The sequence below is a fragment of the Homo sapiens genome, chromosome 16, assembly GCF_000001405.40.
Source record: "Homo sapiens chromosome 16, GRCh38.p14 Primary Assembly".
NCBI lineage: Eukaryota > Metazoa > Chordata > Mammalia > Primates > Hominidae > Homo > Homo sapiens.
The window spans coordinates 3,221,549-3,240,281 of NC_000016.10; the positions used below are offsets into that span (position 1 = coordinate 3,221,549).

At 43.1% G+C, this 18,733-nt stretch overlaps 1 protein-coding gene across 13 annotated transcripts, besides 2 other annotated features; it reads right to left on the minus strand.

The window, feature by feature from the left end:
• Positions 1 to 776: 776 nt before the first annotated feature.
• Positions 777 to 13,610, minus strand: ZNF200 (zinc finger protein 200). Of its 13 annotated transcripts, none has more exons than XR_007064908.1 (6): positions 13,088 to 13,610; positions 11,958 to 12,288; positions 11,285 to 11,373; positions 10,873 to 10,999; positions 5,098 to 5,236; positions 777 to 3,062 (listed from the first exon to the last, which is right to left on the minus strand). XR_007064908.1 is itself a non-coding variant. In XM_047434596.1 (6 exons), exons 3-6 carry the CDS (start codon positions 12,205 to 12,207, stop codon positions 2,344 to 2,346), a joined length of 1,188 nt encoding a protein of 395 aa, XP_047290552.1. In that variant the 5' UTR covers positions 12,208 to 12,288; positions 13,088 to 13,283; positions 13,564 to 13,610; the 3' UTR covers positions 777 to 2,343. The 13 variants fall into 13 exon arrangements, 12 of the variants coding, with proteins under 12 accessions (XP_047290552.1, NP_932353.1, NP_001138918.1 ...); XM_047434596.1 differs by lacking the exon at positions 5,098 to 5,236 and having other exon boundaries at positions 777 to 3,065; positions 13,088 to 13,283; positions 13,564 to 13,610; NM_198087.3 differs by lacking the exon at positions 5,098 to 5,236 and having other exon boundaries at positions 777 to 3,065; positions 10,873 to 10,996; positions 13,564 to 13,610.
• Positions 13,649 to 13,708: an enhancer, noted in NCBI's record as "active region_10314". NCBI's record gives its function as "activates an Ori minimal core promoter by ATAC-STARR-seq in GM12878 lymphoblastoid cells {active_cell/tissue: GM12878}" and the evidence as "EXISTENCE:reporter gene assay evidence [ECO:0000049][PMID:35858748]".
• Positions 13,719 to 13,928: an enhancer, noted in NCBI's record as "active region_10315". NCBI's record gives its function as "activates an Ori minimal core promoter by ATAC-STARR-seq in GM12878 lymphoblastoid cells {active_cell/tissue: GM12878}" and the evidence as "EXISTENCE:reporter gene assay evidence [ECO:0000049][PMID:35858748]".

Consider the following 18,733-nt stretch of genomic DNA (forward strand, 5'->3'; position numbering starts at 1 on the left):
TGAGAACTGATGTAACCCCCGACTCTGGGCAGGGCTGCCAAAGAGTGAGAGAGTGGAGACTCTCTCTCACCACTCACTTCCTGGCAGCTACTTTTCTGGATGCATGGGCAGGTCCCCTACACATGAGATGGTGTGGGTTGTGGTGGCTTCACCCACCTACACTTAAACGAAAAGCTACTCAAGAGGTTGAGGCAGGAAGATCGCTTGAGCCTAGCAGGCGGGAGGTTGCAGCGAGCCAAGATCACCCCACTCCAGCCTTATCAACAGAGCCAGTCTCAAAGAAAAAATTAACTGTCTCGGGTACTGTGCCATGGCTGCATGAGGACTGATAAAATACCCGACTCTGGGCAGGGGTACCAAAGAGTGAGTGGAGACTCTCTCTCACCACTCACTTCCTGGCAGCTACTTTTCTGGGTGCACAGGCAGGTCCACTGCACATGGTAACAGCCTGCCGACTCTGGAAACACAGTTCAGGATCCCAGTCCTAGTGCACTGGTCAGACTTTCAAATAAGCGAATAACGTTGTGGGCAGCCTGTTTTGTTCGCTTTGCTGGCTTTACAGGGTACTTCCTGTTGGCCTGAAATACAATGTTGGTAAAGACAGTTTTTCTGTGGCCTTTCTCTGTTGTGGAGGATTTGTTGTTTTTAAATTACGATTCAGGACTGAACTGTATCATAGAATGTCCTTCTTTCAGAATGCTTTGTGCCAAAACAAGAAACCTCAGAATTACATGTTAATAACAACAAACAAAACAAAAAAGACCAATAGGCAGAAGGCAAGAAACAAAAACTATTCTTTGTAGATGGTGTCATTTTACCAAAAGTTAACAGAACTAAACCAACAAACTATTGAAAATTAACAACAGTGAGATGACTATACAAATATATAATTAAAAATAACTTTCCCATGTAAAAGCAATAATCAACTATAAAAATATAATGGAAAAAACTACAATAACAAAATTGTGTAAAACAAGTGAAGAAAATTAGAAAAATTTTCACAGGAATATAATACTCTAATAAATAGAAAGGCATGTTTCTGGATGGGAAACATACACTATAATTTTTCCCAAATAGCTTATAGGATTTCTTTATTCCAATCAAAACACCAATGTATAACTTTTGGAAACCTAAAGCAAGCAAAACTGAAGAATCCCTAAATCGCACCACACGATCAGTCCGTAAAGGCACCGCTGGCCTTGCTTCTAGGCAGAGGACAGGAAGGTATGGATATCAAGAGGCTGAAGACAATTAATACCCACTACAATGAAGACACCTGGAAACCTGTCTCTTGAGAGGCAATGTGAGCTAACCACTGGAGACGTAATTTCTAATCATACAACACTTTGCCTTGTGAGGTAGTGACCACCCCATTGCCAAAGGTCTGATGACAGCATAGAGGGGACCTAAGCATATGGTAAGGTTATTGATGAGACATGGATCCAAGCCAACTTTTTCCTGCCTCCAGGTTGACCCTTCCTCTCTGGGTCTTGGGGTTTCCTTCGTAGCACATGAGATCTGGGCTCAACAGAGGGACAAGATTCTGAAGAGCTTTTCTAGTGGTGGGGCTGGATGGCCCTGCCTGAGTAATCCAAACTTCTTTTAGCAAGGGAGAAGCATGAGACGGCTGCTGGAGAGATCAACAGCAGAACAAAATACAATAAGAACAGTAGACACCTAAATTATGTTGTGAAAAGGAATCTGTAAAAGTCAGTTTTATCACAAATTGTAAATATTATTGAAATTGATTGCAAATTTAGATCACATACAAATGAGAGTCTGACATTCAACTGTTTTCCTATATTCCAAAGTAAACAATTCCTTTCAACACTCAAGACTTAAACAGGTATTCTTAGAGGGTTATATGAATTGCTATCAGAAGCTGTTGGCTAACAAGCCAGTAATTTGGTTCTTTCACCAGAACACAGTTCCAGATAAGCATCTTTGCACTATTTCTCAAGTATGAATCCCCATGTGGGGGGAAAACGGATATACTTTCAATAGACACAAGTCACTCTTTGCCTTCCAAGTAAGCAGACTCCAGATTCATCTTCAAAGTGTTGGGAAAGGGGATCTGTGACCTGTACATTATCATATAACTTCAAAAAGGAAAGCTCCTTAGTCCAAAAAGCCTAGATGCTGAGGTATAGCCCTTGAAATGTTTTCTTCCCTGTGAATTTTCTAGCAATTTGAGGTTTTAGCTAAGATGGGCATTTATCCAATTTTGGCAATAATGAGATTTTTACACATTTATACCTTTTTAGGCAGCTTGGGAATTCAGAACTACTTATGAAAGCTCTCAGGTTGAGGCAGCACCATCAGACCCAGAAAGGGTTCCCAGTATTACTTCTGCTTTCGGGTCTTACAGGCTGAGTGGGTTTTCTCATGCCGGGTACAGTTTGACAGCCGACCAAATCTTCTCCCACATTTTTTGCAACCATATGGTCTCTCAGCCTCATGACTCTGCAGATGAAGCACAAACTCCTCATTCTTTGGGAAGGTTTTCCCACATTCTGGACACTTAAATATCTTCTCCCTTATATGGATTCCTTCATGACGACTCCGATGAGAATTCTGACGGAAGTTTTTTCCACACTGAGAACAGGAATAAGGTTTCTCTCCTGTATGAATTCGCTCATGTTTATTGAGGTTTGTTTTATGATTGAAGCTTTTCCCACAGTGATTACAGTCATAGGGTTTTTCTCCAGTGTGGGTCCTCTGGTGGGAAATGAGGTAAGAACTTTCATTAAACTGTTTCCCACACAGTGGACAAGTGTACCATCTCCTTGTCCTCCGATTTCGAGTAAGGGCAATAATACTGATGTCTACATATTTTGAGAGTTCCTCTAGAGGAGTATCATTCTCAATGGTAACTAACAGATTTCTCATTTTCCTTTTTTGTGGAATGGATGTATTTAGTCGTTCCTTTTCCTGGTTATCGGGAGGCTGCTGAGAGACCAAGGAAGAATCCATTTCATCATCATCTGAAGACTTTTCTCTATAATCTTCATTTTCTACAGGTTCCCTCTCAGGATCTTCACCTTCAGGATTACTGCCATTGACTGCTGAAACAAAGAGAGAATTTAACAACTTCTGAGAGATATCACAACACCAGGCAGGAAAAAACAAGTCAGGTTTCTTATGCCACAGCCACCTTGAACGTCAATCTGGGGAGTGGCGGATACTGCCGTCGCACTCCTTTTCCATACTTATTGAGGGTGGGATACATAACTGATAAATCTTTCCATCTACCACAATGCAAGCACACTTTAAAGAAATAAAATGAGTGGGATTTCACTGAAAGACTTCAAATGTTTGTTCTCTTCATAGGTGTTAATTACTCGACAAGTTCATATTCACCTTATACTCTGTAGAGCACTCAGGTAAGGACTAGGGATGAAGACTATACATCTATACAGGGAACCACTCATCATCTTGAAGGAGTCTGGTAACTGAATAGTAAGACGAACCACTTGTAGGTTTTCACTATATTAAATATTATCACACTATTATAGCACTAAATAATATCATAATGTCTTACAATGAGAAAATTGAAACAATTCCAATAAGCAAAATTAAAGAGGGCACAGCATATTCATACAAAAGTTTATTATTGGCCAGGCGTGGTGGCTCACACCTGTAATCCCAGCACTTTGGGAGGTCAAGGCGAGCAGATCACCCAAGGCTGGGAGTTCAAGACCAGCCTGACCATCGTGGAGAAACCCTGTCTCTACTAAAAATACAAAATAAGCTGGGCATGGTGGCACATGCCTGTAATCTCAGCTACTAGGGAGGCTGAGGCAGGAGAATCACTTGAAACCGGAAGGCAGAGGTTGCAGTGAGCCGAGATCGCGCCATTGCACTCCAGCCTGGGCAACAAGAGCGAATCTGTCTCAAAACAGAAAAAAGTTTATTATTTGGCAATTAAAGAGATTACTACAACTAATGAAGCTTTGGGATTAGAAGTCAGTAGTGTTTCTCTTTGTGTAGGAAAGGAAGTAGTGAGTGGGTACAGGGCACAAAAGGGATTTTTGGGATGCTAAGAAAAGTCCATTTTGGGTGGTGCTTAGTGTGTACATTTTGTGAAAACTTGAGCTATATATTTACAATTGGTAGGCTTTTTCTATATTTCCATTATACTTCAGAAAAAAGTCAGTGTAAGCAGATTATAAAGACTGGGTAACAAAGTGAAAAAGAACCATGCTGTGGATATACTTGTGTGACAAGGGACCCCTCAACTCAGGCCTACTGAGAGTCAAGGGTTCAAATCAACCACCAAGACATGGGGGCTGATCCTGAAGCTGGAGTTGGAATCTCTGCTGGATTCAGCAGTTTCACACCAATAGATTTTTTTTTATTTCACTTTTTTTTTTTTTTGGCAGAGATAGGGTCTTGCTATGTTGCCTAGGCTGGTTTTGCACTCGTGTACTCAAGCAATCTTCCCAAAGTGCTGGGGATTACAGGTGTAAGCCCCCACACCCAGCCTTAATTATTTTTTCTTTCTTTTTTTTTTTTTTTTTTTGAGATGGAGTCTCGCTTTGTCGCCCAGGTTGGAGTGCAATGGCACCATCTCAGTTCACTGCAAGCTCCGCCTCCTGGGTTCACTCCATTCTCCTACCTGAGCCTCCCCAGTAGCTGGGACTACAGACGTCCACCACCGCGCCCAGCTAATTTTTTGTATTTATAGTAGAGAGAGGGTTTCATCGTGTTAGCCAGGATGGTCTTGATGATCTCCTGACCTCGTGATCCACCCGCCTAGGCCTCCCAAAGTGCTGGGATTACAGGCATGAGCCACTGCGCCCGACCTAATTATTCTTTTTAATCACTCCCTTAGGATAATGAAATGTCAATTTTTACCATAGCTCTTGACATGAACTACCATTCTGCTTTCAAAAACAGCTCTACTAATTTCATGTGAATATTAACTTTACCTAATCTTGTTAGCATTAAATTTTAAAATATTTAATAGGTATAAAATAGTTTCTCATTGTAGTTTTACTTTGGATTTTCATTATGCAAAATAATCTACTGGGTTAAGGCTTTTATAAATGTATATCTTTGTCAATGATTTCTTGTCTAAATAATTTTTAACTCAACTCTTCCTCTTTAACTACACTTGGACTGCTTCCAACCTTGTGTTTTTACAAACAATACCACAGTGAATAATCTTCTTTGTACATCATTTCGAATGTGTTCTGTTGCTATATCTGTAGGTCAGATTTCCAGAATTGAACTCCTGGAACAAAGGATAAGATGGGTAGTTACAGATGCAATTACCCTTATACAGGGACTATACCATTTTATATGCCCACCAGCAATATACCTGTTTCTCAACAACCTCACCATCAATGTGTTTTTATTTCTATAAATATGAAATACGCAAAATGTTAATTCACTAGAGGCTTAATTTGCACTTCTTTTTGCTCCTGTCACGCAGGCTGGAGTGCAGTGGCGTGATCTCGGCTCACTGCAACCTCCACCTCCTGGGTTCAAGTGATTCTCCTTCCTCAGCCTCCCGAGTAGCTGGGATTATAGGCATGCCCCACCACATCCAGCTAATTTTTGTATTTTTAGTAAAAATGGGGTTTTGCCATGTTGGCCAGGCTGGTCTCAAAACTCCTGACCTCAGGTGATCCACCTGCCTCGGCCTCCCAAAGTGCTGGGATTACAGGCGTGAGCCACCATGCCCCAGCCTTTTGTACGTATTTGAATCTGTCAATCTTTTCTTTCAAGGCTTCTGGGCTTTTGAGTCTTAATTACAAAAACCTTCCTATCCCATGGTTATAAAGGAATCACTCATATTTTCTAAATGTGCTTTTTATATTTGTTTTAAACATTTAAAATCTTTGATCCATGTGGACTTTTTCTTGGTATGTAAAGTAAGGTACTAATTTATCAAGTGGCTGTCAGTCGTCCTAACACCTTTTATCAAAAAGTCCCCCTTTATGGTTAGGCTTTGTGTCCTCGCCCAAATCTCATCTTAAATTGTAATCCCACATGTCAAGGAGACATCAGGTGAAGGTAACTGAGTCATGGGCGGGGGGGCCTTCCCCCATGCTATTCTCATGATAGTGAGTTCTCATGAGATCTGATGGTTTTATAAGGGGCTCTTCCCCCTTTACTCGTACTTCTCCCTCCTGCTGCCTTGTGAAGATGATGCCTTGCTTCCTCTTGCCTTTGCCATGATTTTAAGTTTCTGGAGGCCTCCCCAGCCATGCTGAACTGTGAGTCAATTAAACCTGTTTCCTTTATAAATTACCAAGTCTCGGACAATTCTTTATACCAGTGTGAAAATGGACGAATACACCAACTTTATCACACACTAAACTCCCATGTGTATTTGAGGCTATTTCGGGACTTTCTGAGATCACAGTCTTGTTCCAAGGGAAAAATGCTATTGGTATTGTTGAAAAAAAACACATCAAATTAATAAATCAACAAGAGGAGAAATGACCTTTTTATGATATTGTCTCCCTAGCCAAAAACATAGTATTTTTTTTTTTTGCTTTCGTTGAAATCTACTCTTGTCCTTTAGCCTTGTTTTAAAGTTTCCTCATAAATTTGCACATTTCTTGAGTTTATTCCTAAGTATTTAAACTTTCATGTTTCTATTCTAATGGGGCCTTCCACTGTATCTTCTAAATGACCCCATTTATATATGTGAAAGCCAATGATTTCTGTTTATTCACTTTATTTCCCACTACCTTAGTGAATGGTCTCATTTTTTCCCATGAGAGTACTTAAGACAAATAAATGTTCTTATTTTTAAGTTTTCTGATTACTCTGTTCTACCTATAAGGAAGTATCTGTTAACTATTTTGTTAAATGTTCTTATAAAGGAGAGGCTTCAATTTTGTCAAGTATCTTTTCAGTAACTATACAAGTAAACAAATGATTTTTCTCCTTTATATATAAGAAATATTAATAGATTTGTATTATTTCTGTTTTTTTAATTATTTTTTTTGAGATGGAGTCTTGCTCTGTCCCCTAGGCTGGAGTACAATGATGTGATCTCAGCTCACTGCAACCTCTGCCTCCCGGGTTCAAGTGATTCTCCTACCTCAGCCTCCAGAGTAACTGGGATTACAAGCACGCACCACCACACCCAGCTAACTTTTGTATATTTTTTTTTTAGTAGAGATGGGGTTTTGCTATGTTGGACAGGCTGGTCTCAAACTCCTGACCTCAGGTATCACCCGCCTTTGCCTCCCAAAGTGCTGGGATTACAGCCGTGAACCACTGTGCCCAGCATGGGGACTGGATTTCAACACGAGATTTGGAGGGGACAAATATCCAAACTATATCAGCAACCTTGCGTCAAAGGGGTAAAAACAAATTAAAATTGCATATTTTTTCTAGAAAACATTATACAGACCTTCATATTCATAGGTTCTGCATCTGAGGATTCAACCAACCAAGGATTGAAAATATTTGAGAGAAAAAAAAAGGATGGTTTTGTCTGTACATATTCAGTTTTTTTGTCATTCCCTAAACAATTTAGTATAACAACTATTTATGTAGCATTTACTTTGTATTAGGTATTATAATTGATCTAGAAATAAAATATATGGTAGGATATGTGTGGAGTATATGTAAATGCTACACCATTTTATATAATGAATTTGAGCATCCATGGATTTTGGTATCTGAGTGGGGGTCCTGGAACCAATCCCCCATGAATACCAAGGACAAGTGTATATCAGAATTTATGGTATAACCTAAAGTGATGCTCATAAGAGAGCTCATGGCTGTAAAAACATGTATTAATTTAGAAAAATGAGAATAATAAAGCCTCTGATTCAAAGTTAGAAAAACAATAGGATAAATTTAAAAGAATGAAGGTATTAATAAATACCAATTAGAAAGTAATGAGTTAAAAATAGAAAAAAACTAGTAAGATTTAAGCAAAAATAAACCAATTTCCATAGAGAAAATTGAAATTATCAAAAAAAGACTAGCCACCTACCCAAGAAAAGCACCAGCCTCAGACAGTTCCACAGAAAATTCTTCTAAACTTTTAAAAATTAAATAATTCAAATGCTAGGAAAATTTCCAGAGTATAGAAAAAGAAGGTTGGGAGGCCAAGGCGGGCAGATCACAAGGTCAGGAGATTGAGACCATCCTGGCTAACATGGTGAAACCCTGTCTCTACTAAAAATACAAAAAATCAGCCGGACAAGGTGGCAGGCACCTGTAGTCCCAGCTACTCGGGAGGCTGAGGCAGGAGAATGGCATGAACCGCAGGGGGCGGAGACTGCAGGAAGCCAAGATCGCACCACTGCACTCCAGCCTAGGTGACAGCGAGACTCCGTCTCAAAAAAAAAAAAGAAGGAAACTTCCAAATTCAAACAAGAGCGAAACTCTGTCTCAAAAAAATAAATAAATAAATAAAGACAGAGAAATCTGAGCCCCAGTGATGGAGGTGGGGCCTAGTCGGAGGTGTCTGCATCATGTGGGTAGATCGCTCATGAATGGCTTGATGCCACCTCAAAATAATAAGTGATTTCTCACTCTTAGTTCACTAACAATGTGGCTGTTTAAAAGAGCCTGGCACCTTCCTACTCTCTTTCTTCCTCTCTTGCCATGTGAAGTCTGCTCTCCTTCAACCATGAGTAGTTTCTTGAAGCCCTCACCAGAAGCAGACGCTGACGCCATGCTTCTTGTACAGCCTACAGAAAACTGTGAGCCAAATAAACCTCTTTTCTTTATAAATTACCCAGCCTCAGGTATTCTTTTATAGCAGCACAAAATGTACTAAGACAGTTGCTTAAGAGTTTTAAATTTTCCAGGTGGAAGGAACTTTAATTTACTGATCTTTATTATTAATTTCTAGTTGTACTGCATTGTGACAGATCCTACTTTATTTCTACTCCTTGGAATCTGAGTCTTTGTTTGTTGCCTAGTATTTAGTCAATTTTCTTCAATCTTGAAAAGGTGTATTCTCCTATCACAGCACACAGTAGCTATAATAAGAATTATCTTACTGAAAATCTGTTTAAGTGTTCTACGTTTTTCCTTATTTTTACGTGGTTCACTTGGCCAACACACACATTCTCTGTTTCCCTAGGTTATCAAGGACTGTTCTTTGATTCCTGCCACCACAATGTTCAATCCGTTATAGTTTTTCCTTTGCAAAAATTGGTTAAATGTTACTGTTTCAATTATCATCACCTATAAATTGATGGCTCCCCAATCCCTATATCCTCACATCTGAACTCCAATCCCCAATTTCCAAATATCTGGAGGATAATCTCATTTTATTTCCCATCATGGATTCAATCTCATCCAAAATCAATTCCACCTTCTTCACTACTCTGCCCCGGGTCCAAATCTTACCTCAGTCTTGCGATAGCTCATTATACCTATAAAAATTTCACACTGCTTATCGTTTGATGAATGACTTGTCTTACAAACCAAATTGGAAGATTACAAAAGGCAAGAATATAACATCTTCGTAACCTGATGAATACAATTCCAGAACCCAATCCTGCCTGAGGAAAAAACTAGTACATTTATGAAATGCTGGTAAATGACTAAGCTTAAGCCACCAGCTTCAGGGTACGGGTGGAGGAAGTGGGGAACAGAGGGTGAGGATTGGGTCTTAGGGGCCCTGAAGTGCATAGTCGAAGTGATCTTGGAGGCAATATATCCACTAACCAGTCACCCAAAATAAATGCCAGCTCTGCCCAAGACTCAGGAAAAACTCAGTGTTAATAAATCTGATCTTTTTATCCTTTTCTCTAAAATAAAGAAGATATCACATAGAGCAACCTGCGGGAAATTAACTACACTCATTACATACCAATACTTCTGACCATACGGTATAATTACAGCTAAGAGTTTGACAGTCATAATGGATTTCTGTCACCCCAGGCAACTTCTAAAACCTATTCTCTGTACAACTTCACCCTCAGAAACAAAAAGCCCTGAAGGCAAAGTAAAAAGTGTCCGGCACTCAGTAAAGACATTTGTGCGGGCCTCTGCCTCTAGGGTTGCAACATTTCTAGAGAAAAGGTAAAGCATCTCTAAGCAAATTATAGAGAGGCTGCTGCTTGATCAGTTCATACACAGCACTGGGGGACACTTGTCAACTATTACTGGGAAATGAGGACAAATAAAGAATGCCCCATTCACCAACCATACACGGAATTCATTGACAAAATTATGAGAAATGCATCTAGGAGACAGTACAGCCCTGGGCCATTACTGCAAATTCTGATGTCAGATTCCCTGAGTCCGAATCCCTGTTCCCCTACTTACAACTGTGTGAACTTTAGCAAATTTTGTAACCCCTCTCTGCCTCAGTTCTGTCACCTGTAAGGTGGCAGTAATTTCTATACCACTCAGTATTACTCTGAGAAGTACATGAGAGAATAAACACATGAAAAGCATTTGGACTAGTGCCTAGCATGTAACAGCATATAAGTGCTCATTAAGTGTTAAACATTACTTTCACCAATAGTGGAATATATTTTCACTTAGGCTAGTAGTCTTCACATCTATTGAACATCAAAAAGGGGAGGGGGATTACAAGAGTTAGTCATGTGTTCAATGAAAACATTCAAATATACCTGTTGAGAACAGAGTTCAGAAAATGGGTTCAGAACAGTTTCTATATCCACAGTTTCTATGTCTGCAGGTTTTCCCTACCTCTCCCCTCACTGCCCCCAAGATACAGGGAAAAATGGCCACCCACCCACAGCTGGAGTTCTGTGGCAAGGCTCTGCTACATTGAATAAAACAAAAGTAAAATAAAATGTGTGTGTGCACATAGGCTTACCAGGTGTGAATCGTCCCCCAAAGCTAAAGAGATGAAGGACATGCTTTTCCCAAAGCAAACAACCTGAACACACAAAGGCTGTGATTTCTTACCCAGTAACATCATTTCCCCGACACTGCTGTCATCTTCCTTCTCTGACGTGAGTTGTTGAGTAGGATCCAAGCTCACACATTCTTCCTGGCAGTGAAATACATTCAAATCCTCAAAGACCACCAGCTCCTGAAAGAGCAAGAGGCCCCTTTCATCTTAGTAACTGAGGTTCACTGACAGCCCTACTGGTAAGAAAAGCTGACACACAAAGATCAAGGGAAGGGATAGCAAGAGGGACCTATAAATCCCACAGAGGTGCAGCAAAGACAGGACAGCCAGGCTGAGAAGGGCTCAAGGAAAAAGCAGAAGAAAAACACCCAAGAAGGCCAACTCCTAAGAATGTGTTTTTACACACAGGTTGGCCAAGCACGGAAGGTGATGGATTCAGGCAGTAAATGGGAAAACCAAACCCACCTCAGGGTTAGCTTTCAAATACAGAGACACTGTCTCTTGTTCCTTTTGGACTCCTTTGGGCAGAAGCTTCACCAAGGGACGAGGATGCACTGGGGAAAGAGGAAGGTTTAGTTAGTGAAAAACTCAGTGACTCTAACACAGAGACTCCCCATACCGCGAGGCCAGGCTGTCCTCATTCCTTTGACAGGTAACTCATGGCCTTTTCTGCTCCTGTGAGCCCTTATAGAGTTCAAGCCATAAACTCTAGGGTCTTGAACCTATGGCATCTCCCTGTTATGAAAAGAATGACTTCTCTAAGCACCTTTCAGAATTTCCCATAGAGTATTACTAAAGGAGAGCTTAGGGCAACGTAAAGTGTGAAGATGCCCAGAAAAAGCACAAAATTTCTAAAATTCCACATCAACCTAACTCAATAATTCATCTGATTTATCCTTAAAAGATATTTCCCTCAGAATGTTTGGGTAAAACTGACACTACAGAAAGATGCACACTGTTTATTCTGTGGCCTTACTCACACCCAGCACTTGAGAAGAACTTCCTCTTTCCAACACTAGAATTGACTCCTTTTCCAATATACACCATCCTAACTTGAATTTATAACTAACACAGAAACCTATCTTAGACTCCAGTACCTCCTCCTCCTCTTCTAGTGAAACAAGCATGTGCTTCTCACCTCTGTTCTGAAGGCTTGAGCTCACATCTTTCATAATAACCAAGGTCTCCTTGACTTTCTGACTGGGCTGGACCAGGCTTGGCTTGGGCAAGAAGGTGAGGAAGTGCTCCAGCACTAGCTGGTGGATGGTCTTGGGCCCGTTAGTGGCATCTCGAAGTAGGTCTTGGCCCAGCTTGGAGTCTGGCGGAACTCTCAGTATAAAGGACTGCTTTGGCTTTGGGGGCATAGGAACCACTTTTGCAGCCATCATGCCTTGCAACCACACACCACACTCGTTTCGCGGGGCCTCCAGAGCCACCTCTTACTAGAGGAAATCTGCCAGAGAGCCAAGCTGTAGACAGAGAAACCAGGGATTACCCAAAAGACCAGGCACGGCATTACTGCACTCCAATATGTGGCATGGCTGGTGAGGCTACATGAGATCTAAAGAAAACGACAGCTGGGATAGGGAAATCATAACTGAAACGCAGTATTTGAACAAGATATGCTTAGGAAGATGTGAAAGGAAGATCCTGAGAATGAAAAACAGAGACTGTGCAAACCTCAAGTCCAAAGGGAAGGGAGTAAGGGTGGAGCGGAGAAGGCCAAGGTCCAGCCTCCTGAGAAATACAAAGTGTGGCCAGGTACCGGTGGCTCACACCTGTAATCCCAGCACTTTGGAAGGCCCTGGCGGGTGGATCGCTTGAGTCCAGGAGTTCAAGACCAGCCTGGGCAACACAGCAAGACACCGACTCCATAAAAAAAAAAAAAATTAGCTGGGCGTGGCGACACAAGCCTGTGGTCCCAGCTACTGGGGAGCTGGGAGGATTGCTTGTGCCCAGGAGGTCGAGGCTGCAGTGAACTGTGATCGCGCCACTGCACTGCAGTCTGAGCGACAAAGCAAGACCCTGACTCTAAAAAAAGAAAGGAAAAGAGAAAGGAAAGAAGGAGGAAGGGAATCAGGGAAGAGAAAGAAAATAAAAGGAAAAAGAAAGAAAAGACAGAAAGAAAGACGGTGTGTAAAACCCACCAGGAATAGGTTAAATCAGGCTTGGAGAAAGAGCAATGGGCTAGAAGACAGGAAATCTGGGGTCAATACCGAGGACATCTGCCTAAAAGCAGGTTGGTCACTGAATCTGGCCATACTGTACCCCTCGAACCGAAGCTCCCTCCGGTGCCCTTTGGGCGGGGAGGCGGTTGGTGACTCTCCCGGGGAGCAGATGCAAGGCCGAGGAGGTGTCCACACACCGCCTGCCGACTCCTCTCCGCCGTCAAAGCTCTGCTGAGAGCGGCAGGCGACATCCCACTAAGGACCGCCGGGCCAGGCTCACTCTGGGGCCTCTTCCGCTGGTCAAGGAACACCTTTACCGTAAAGCTCAGCGTGCGCCCCTGCCTGAGGCGCTCACCAGGCTCCCTACCCGGCCTTGCTCCCTCAGCAACGGACACGCTCCGCTCCCCAGAGGCGGCCTCAGCCTGGTTCCCGCCCTCACGGAGCCCCTCACCTCTCGGGGCCTCTGCAGCCCCTGAGCGTTTGCTGGGGACGGCTCAGAGACTCAGGCTCCGGGAGAGATAGAAAAACTAGGCGCGAGCGGTCGAGCCCTCCCCTCGCCCTTCCGAGTGCCCTCACAGGTCGCCGGCGACTATTCGTTCGCGCCGCCGCCAGTTGAGGAGAACGGCAGGGACTCGGTGCCTTCTGGGAAGTCGGGCGCTCTGCGGCTGTGACGTCACAACCGGTGCCTTGTTTCCGGTGCAGAAGCCTGGTCTCCCCGTTCGGAGCCGGCAGTCTGCGCTTGAGACGTTAAGACTTGAGACAGGCCAGAGGAGCTCTCAGGGCCGGAGGGAGGCCAGGACGGCTGTAGCCTCTCTGTGGTTCTGCCTGGAAGACGGAAGGCAGGTGGTTGGCTCTAGTCATCCACGACGGGCTGGCACCTCTCCAGCTGCGGCCAGTCTAACCCCAGGGCCTGCTGGGAAATGTAGTTCGAATGCAAACAACCAATGGACGACCGTCAGGCGCGGCGGTTGGGGCGGGGCAGGCCCCCCCACCGCCCCACCCCCCGCCCACCCAGCGCCCGCGCTCCCCCCACCCCCCACCCCGCCACCCCCCTACCCCGCCACTCCCCCACCGCCCTACTCTCCCCACCCCCCACCCCCCTACTCTCCCCACCCCCCACCCCCCACCCCGCCACCCCCCACGGCGCCACCCCCCAACCCCCACCCCCCTACTCTCCCCACCCCCCTACTCTCCCCACCCCCCTACTCTCCCCACCCCCTACTCTCCCCACCCCCCTACTCTCCCCACCCCCCCACCCCCTACTCTCCCCACCCCCCTACTCTCCCCACCCCCCTACTCTCCCCACCCCCCCACCCCCTACCCTCCCCACCCCCCCACCCCCCTACCCTCCCCACCCCCCTACCCTCCCCACCCCCCTACCCTCCCCACCCCCCTACCCCGAGGCTTAAAGGAAGCAAGCTATCTCTCCGACCGGAAAATCAAGACGCCTCCGCGGTTTCCGCCTTTTACTGCGGTTCTCCAGTAAAAAGACTGCGGAGGCGGACAGGGTGTGGCCGCCATGGGACTCCGCCCCCGCTCTGGTGACTCCCATAGGTTAGAGATGGGGCACCGACATTGCCCACTCCAGCTTGCTAACTTCTACACTGCTGTCCGCACCGGCCGTCTTGTTTTTAAAGACATCTTAATTGCCCTTCTCCTACTGTCTCGGTTTCCTTTCTCAATTTCAGCTTCCTACGGAGGCCGAACAGAGTTTTGTGTTTGTGCGTTGTATCCACACTCGGTTCGTTCCCCAGTGACGCACTGATCAGGGTTCGGACAACTTGTGGGCAGGGATGGCCTTATTTCTCGATGTAATACCAGCCTCCAGAAAGTTGACAAAAGTAAAAATATAAATGAATGCCTCTTCTTAAAGTTAATTATACCTGACTAATGGCTGACGATGGCTTAAAATATGTTACAAAGAAACGAGTATGAAAACTGTGTGGCACCAAGACATTCTAGAAAAATAAGGAATATCTGCCTTTTCAGATCAAAATTTACTAAAAAGCCTCCGTTAATCAAAGCATTATGGTTTGAATTATGAGGCAAAACAGATAACTGAGATGTCTTGAAGTAAAATATAAACCTGTGTGATTGTATTTTTTAAGAACTTTTTCTTGACTCTGTTAACAAACAAGAAATAGACTGGAAGATAATTGTAAAGATTAGCTACACAAAAGATTATACATTCCTAAGACAAAATGAACCCCTGCCAACTGACAAAAAGCAAAGGCAATGAGGAGCTCTTCCCGAGAGGAGGAAAACTAATTGGTCATTAACATTTAAAAAGATGCTTAACCACACTACTAGTCAAGATTATCACTTTTAAAGGGAACCACATTTTTCACCTATCAAACAATGAAGGTGGAGAAATAGGCACTCCTTTCGCTGGTAGTGTGGTGTGTGAAGTCATCTTGTAATATATATTAAAATTAAAAGTACAAGTATGTACCCTTTGACCTTCACAATCTCATCTGTGAATCTGATGTCTACAAATTTCTTGTAGAATTCTTTGTAGTGACAAAAACTAGAAATGACATGCATGTTCATACGTAAGGAAAGGAGTAAATTGGTGCATTCATACTCTGGAAATTACCCAGCTATGAAAAAGAATGGATTGGAACTATATGTACACCTGGAGGGATGGCCATAAAATATTACATGAAAAAGTTTCAGAGCTACATATATTATGCATAATTATATTTTTGGAACAAACAAAACACCTTGTGTATGTTTGTGTTGAGGGATACACAATAGATTATTAAAATGGTTACTCATGGGATGGCCAGGCGCAGTGGCTCATGCCTGTAATCCCAGCACTTTGGGAAGCCAGAGGTGGGCTGATCACTGGAGGTTAGGAGTTCAAGACCAGCCTGGCCAACATGGGGAAACCCCATCTGTACTAAAAATACAAAAATTAGCCGGGCGTGGTGGCGGGTGCCTGTAATCTCATCTACTTGGGAGGAGGCTGAAGCACAAGAATTGCTTGAACCCAGGAGGTGGAGGTGGACGTTACAGTGAGCCAAGATCGCACCACTGCACTCCAGCCTGAGTGACAGGCACACCAGCCTGGGCGACAGAGTAGTAAGACTCTGTCTCTAAATAAATACGTAAAATAAAAATAAAATGGTTACTCAGAGGGAGGGAATGGAAATGGAGAAAAGGGAGAGATTACACTTTTTTTTTATTGTGTCACTTCATTTAATGAGCACGTCAATTTGGTAACTAAAAATAATAAAACCTTAAAAAAAAATAGAACAATAGGCCGGGCATGGTGGCTCATCCCAGCACTTTTGGAGGCTGAGGTGGGCAGATCATCTGAGGTCAGGAGTTCGAGAGCAGCCTAACATAGTGAAACCCGTCTCTACTAAAAAATACAAAATTAGCCGGGCGTGGTGATGCATGCCTATAATCCCAGCTACTCAGGAGGCTGAGACAGGAGAATCATTTGAACCTGGGAGGCAGAGGTTGCAGTGAGCTGAGATCATGCCACTGCACTCCAGCCTGGGTGACAGAGCAAGACTCCATCTTGTGGGGGCGGAAAAAAAAGAAAAAAGAACGATAAAGATTTTTTAAAACAATTTGATGGAAAAAAAGAACGATAAAGATTTTTTAAAACAATTTGATGGAAAAAAAAGAACGAAAAAGATTTTTTAAAACAATTTGATGGAATCCTGTTTTTAGAATCTAATCCGTAAAATAAATGACATAAATGGATTTGAAATGATACCATAAATTAAGGGTGTAAACACAATATGTATCTCTATAAATGCCTTTTAACATGAAAAGATGGCTATTGTCACATACAATTAAAGAAATGAAATTTAAAATAATAATTACAAAAATAATATTCAGTATTCTAAAAGCAAATTAATACAATTATTTAAGAGGGCAATATGACACTTCCTATTTTAAGAAGTAAACTGTTCATAAACTTTGTAATGGTCAATTCTCAACTCATTTTAAAGAAAAACTCACGCCTGTAATCCCAGCACTTTGGGAGGCCGAGGTGGGCGGATCATGAGGTCAGAAGATCAAGACTATCCTGGCCAACATGGTGAAACCCCGCCTCTACTAAAAATACAAAAATTAGCTGGGTGTAGAGGTACACGCCTGTAATCCCAGCTACTTGGGAGGCTGAGGCAGGAGAATAGCTTGAACCAGGGAGTTGGAGGTTGCAGTGAGCCAAGATTCTGCCACTGCACTCCAGCTCGGGTGACAGAAGGAGACTCCATCTCCAAAAAAAAAAAAAAAAAGGTTACATCATGATATGTTTATACAGTGGAAGCCAACAGAACCATTGAAAAGAGATACTTTAAGTGAAAAGGCAAGTTATAAAGCAGTATGTATAATAAGTCGTTTTAAAAATAAAATGTTAGGCTTTTTTTTTTTGAGATGGAGTCTTGCTCTGTTGCCCAGGCTGGAGTGCAGTGGCGTGGTCTCGGCTCACTGCAACCTCCATCTCCCAGGTTCAAGCAATTCTTCTGCCTCAGCCTCCTGAGTAGCAGGGACTACCGGCGCCCGCCACCACACCCAGCTAATTTTTGTATTTTTACTAGAGACGGGGGTTTCACCATGTTGGCCAGGATGGTCTCGATCTCTTGACCTCGTGATCTGCCCGCCTCGGCCTCCCAAAGTGTTGGGATTACAGGTGTGAGCCACCGCCCCCAGCCTAGGCTTTTTTTTTTTTTTTTTTAACTGGAGGAATATACAATAACAAGAGTTAACAGTTGCTTTCTAGAAATGTTGGCCGGGGGGGAGGGAAAGAGAGTTAATATTGGTTGTCTCTAAGGAGTAGGATTAGAAGGAATTTGTCACTTTTTATGTTTTATAAATCCATACATTTTCAAATAACAAGTGTTCCTTTTGTAGTTGAAAAAAACAACTATTTGAAAGGTGAGTTAATTTAGTATCTGATCATCTAGGAGTAAAACTAAGTGAAGAAAGAATTTCCTATTTAAAAGATCTTGAATGCAAATCAAAACTATAATGAGATACCACTTCACACACACTAGAATTACTATAATAAAAAATACCATAAAAATGTTATTGGTGAGGATGTGGAGAAAATGAAACCCTCCTATATTGCTGGTGGTCCAGCTACTTTGGAAAGGACCTAAAATGGTCCAGCTACTTTGGAAAACAGTTTGGCAGTTTCTTTTTTTTTTTTTTTTTTTTTTGAGACGGAGTCTCGCTCTGTCGCCCAGGCTGGAGTGCAGTGGCGGGATCTCGGCTCACTGCAAGCTCCGCCTCCCGGGTTCACGCCATTCTCCTGCCTCAGCCTCGTCAGTAGCTGGAACTACAGGCGCCCACCACCACGCCCGGCTAATTTTTTTTTGTATTCTTAGTAGAAACGGGGTTTCACCGTGTTAGCCAGGATGGTCTCGATCTCCTGACCTTGTGATCCGCCTGCCTCGGCCTCCCAAAGTGTTGGGATTACAGGCGTGAGCCACCGCACCCGGCCGGCAGTTTCTTAAAATAGTTACCATGTGAACAAGCAGTTCAATTTCAAGGTATAAACTCAAGAGAAATGGAAATGTGTGTTCACACAATAACGTGTTCACACTAGCCTAAAAGTGGAAACAACCCAATGTCCTGTAAGTGATCAGTGGATGAACAAGAAGTGATATTTACATGTAATCATATAATGGATTATTCAGTGATAAAACAGGATGAAAGTAGTGACACATGCTGCAACGTGGATGGGCCATGAAAACACACTAAGCAAAAGAATCAGTCGCAAAAA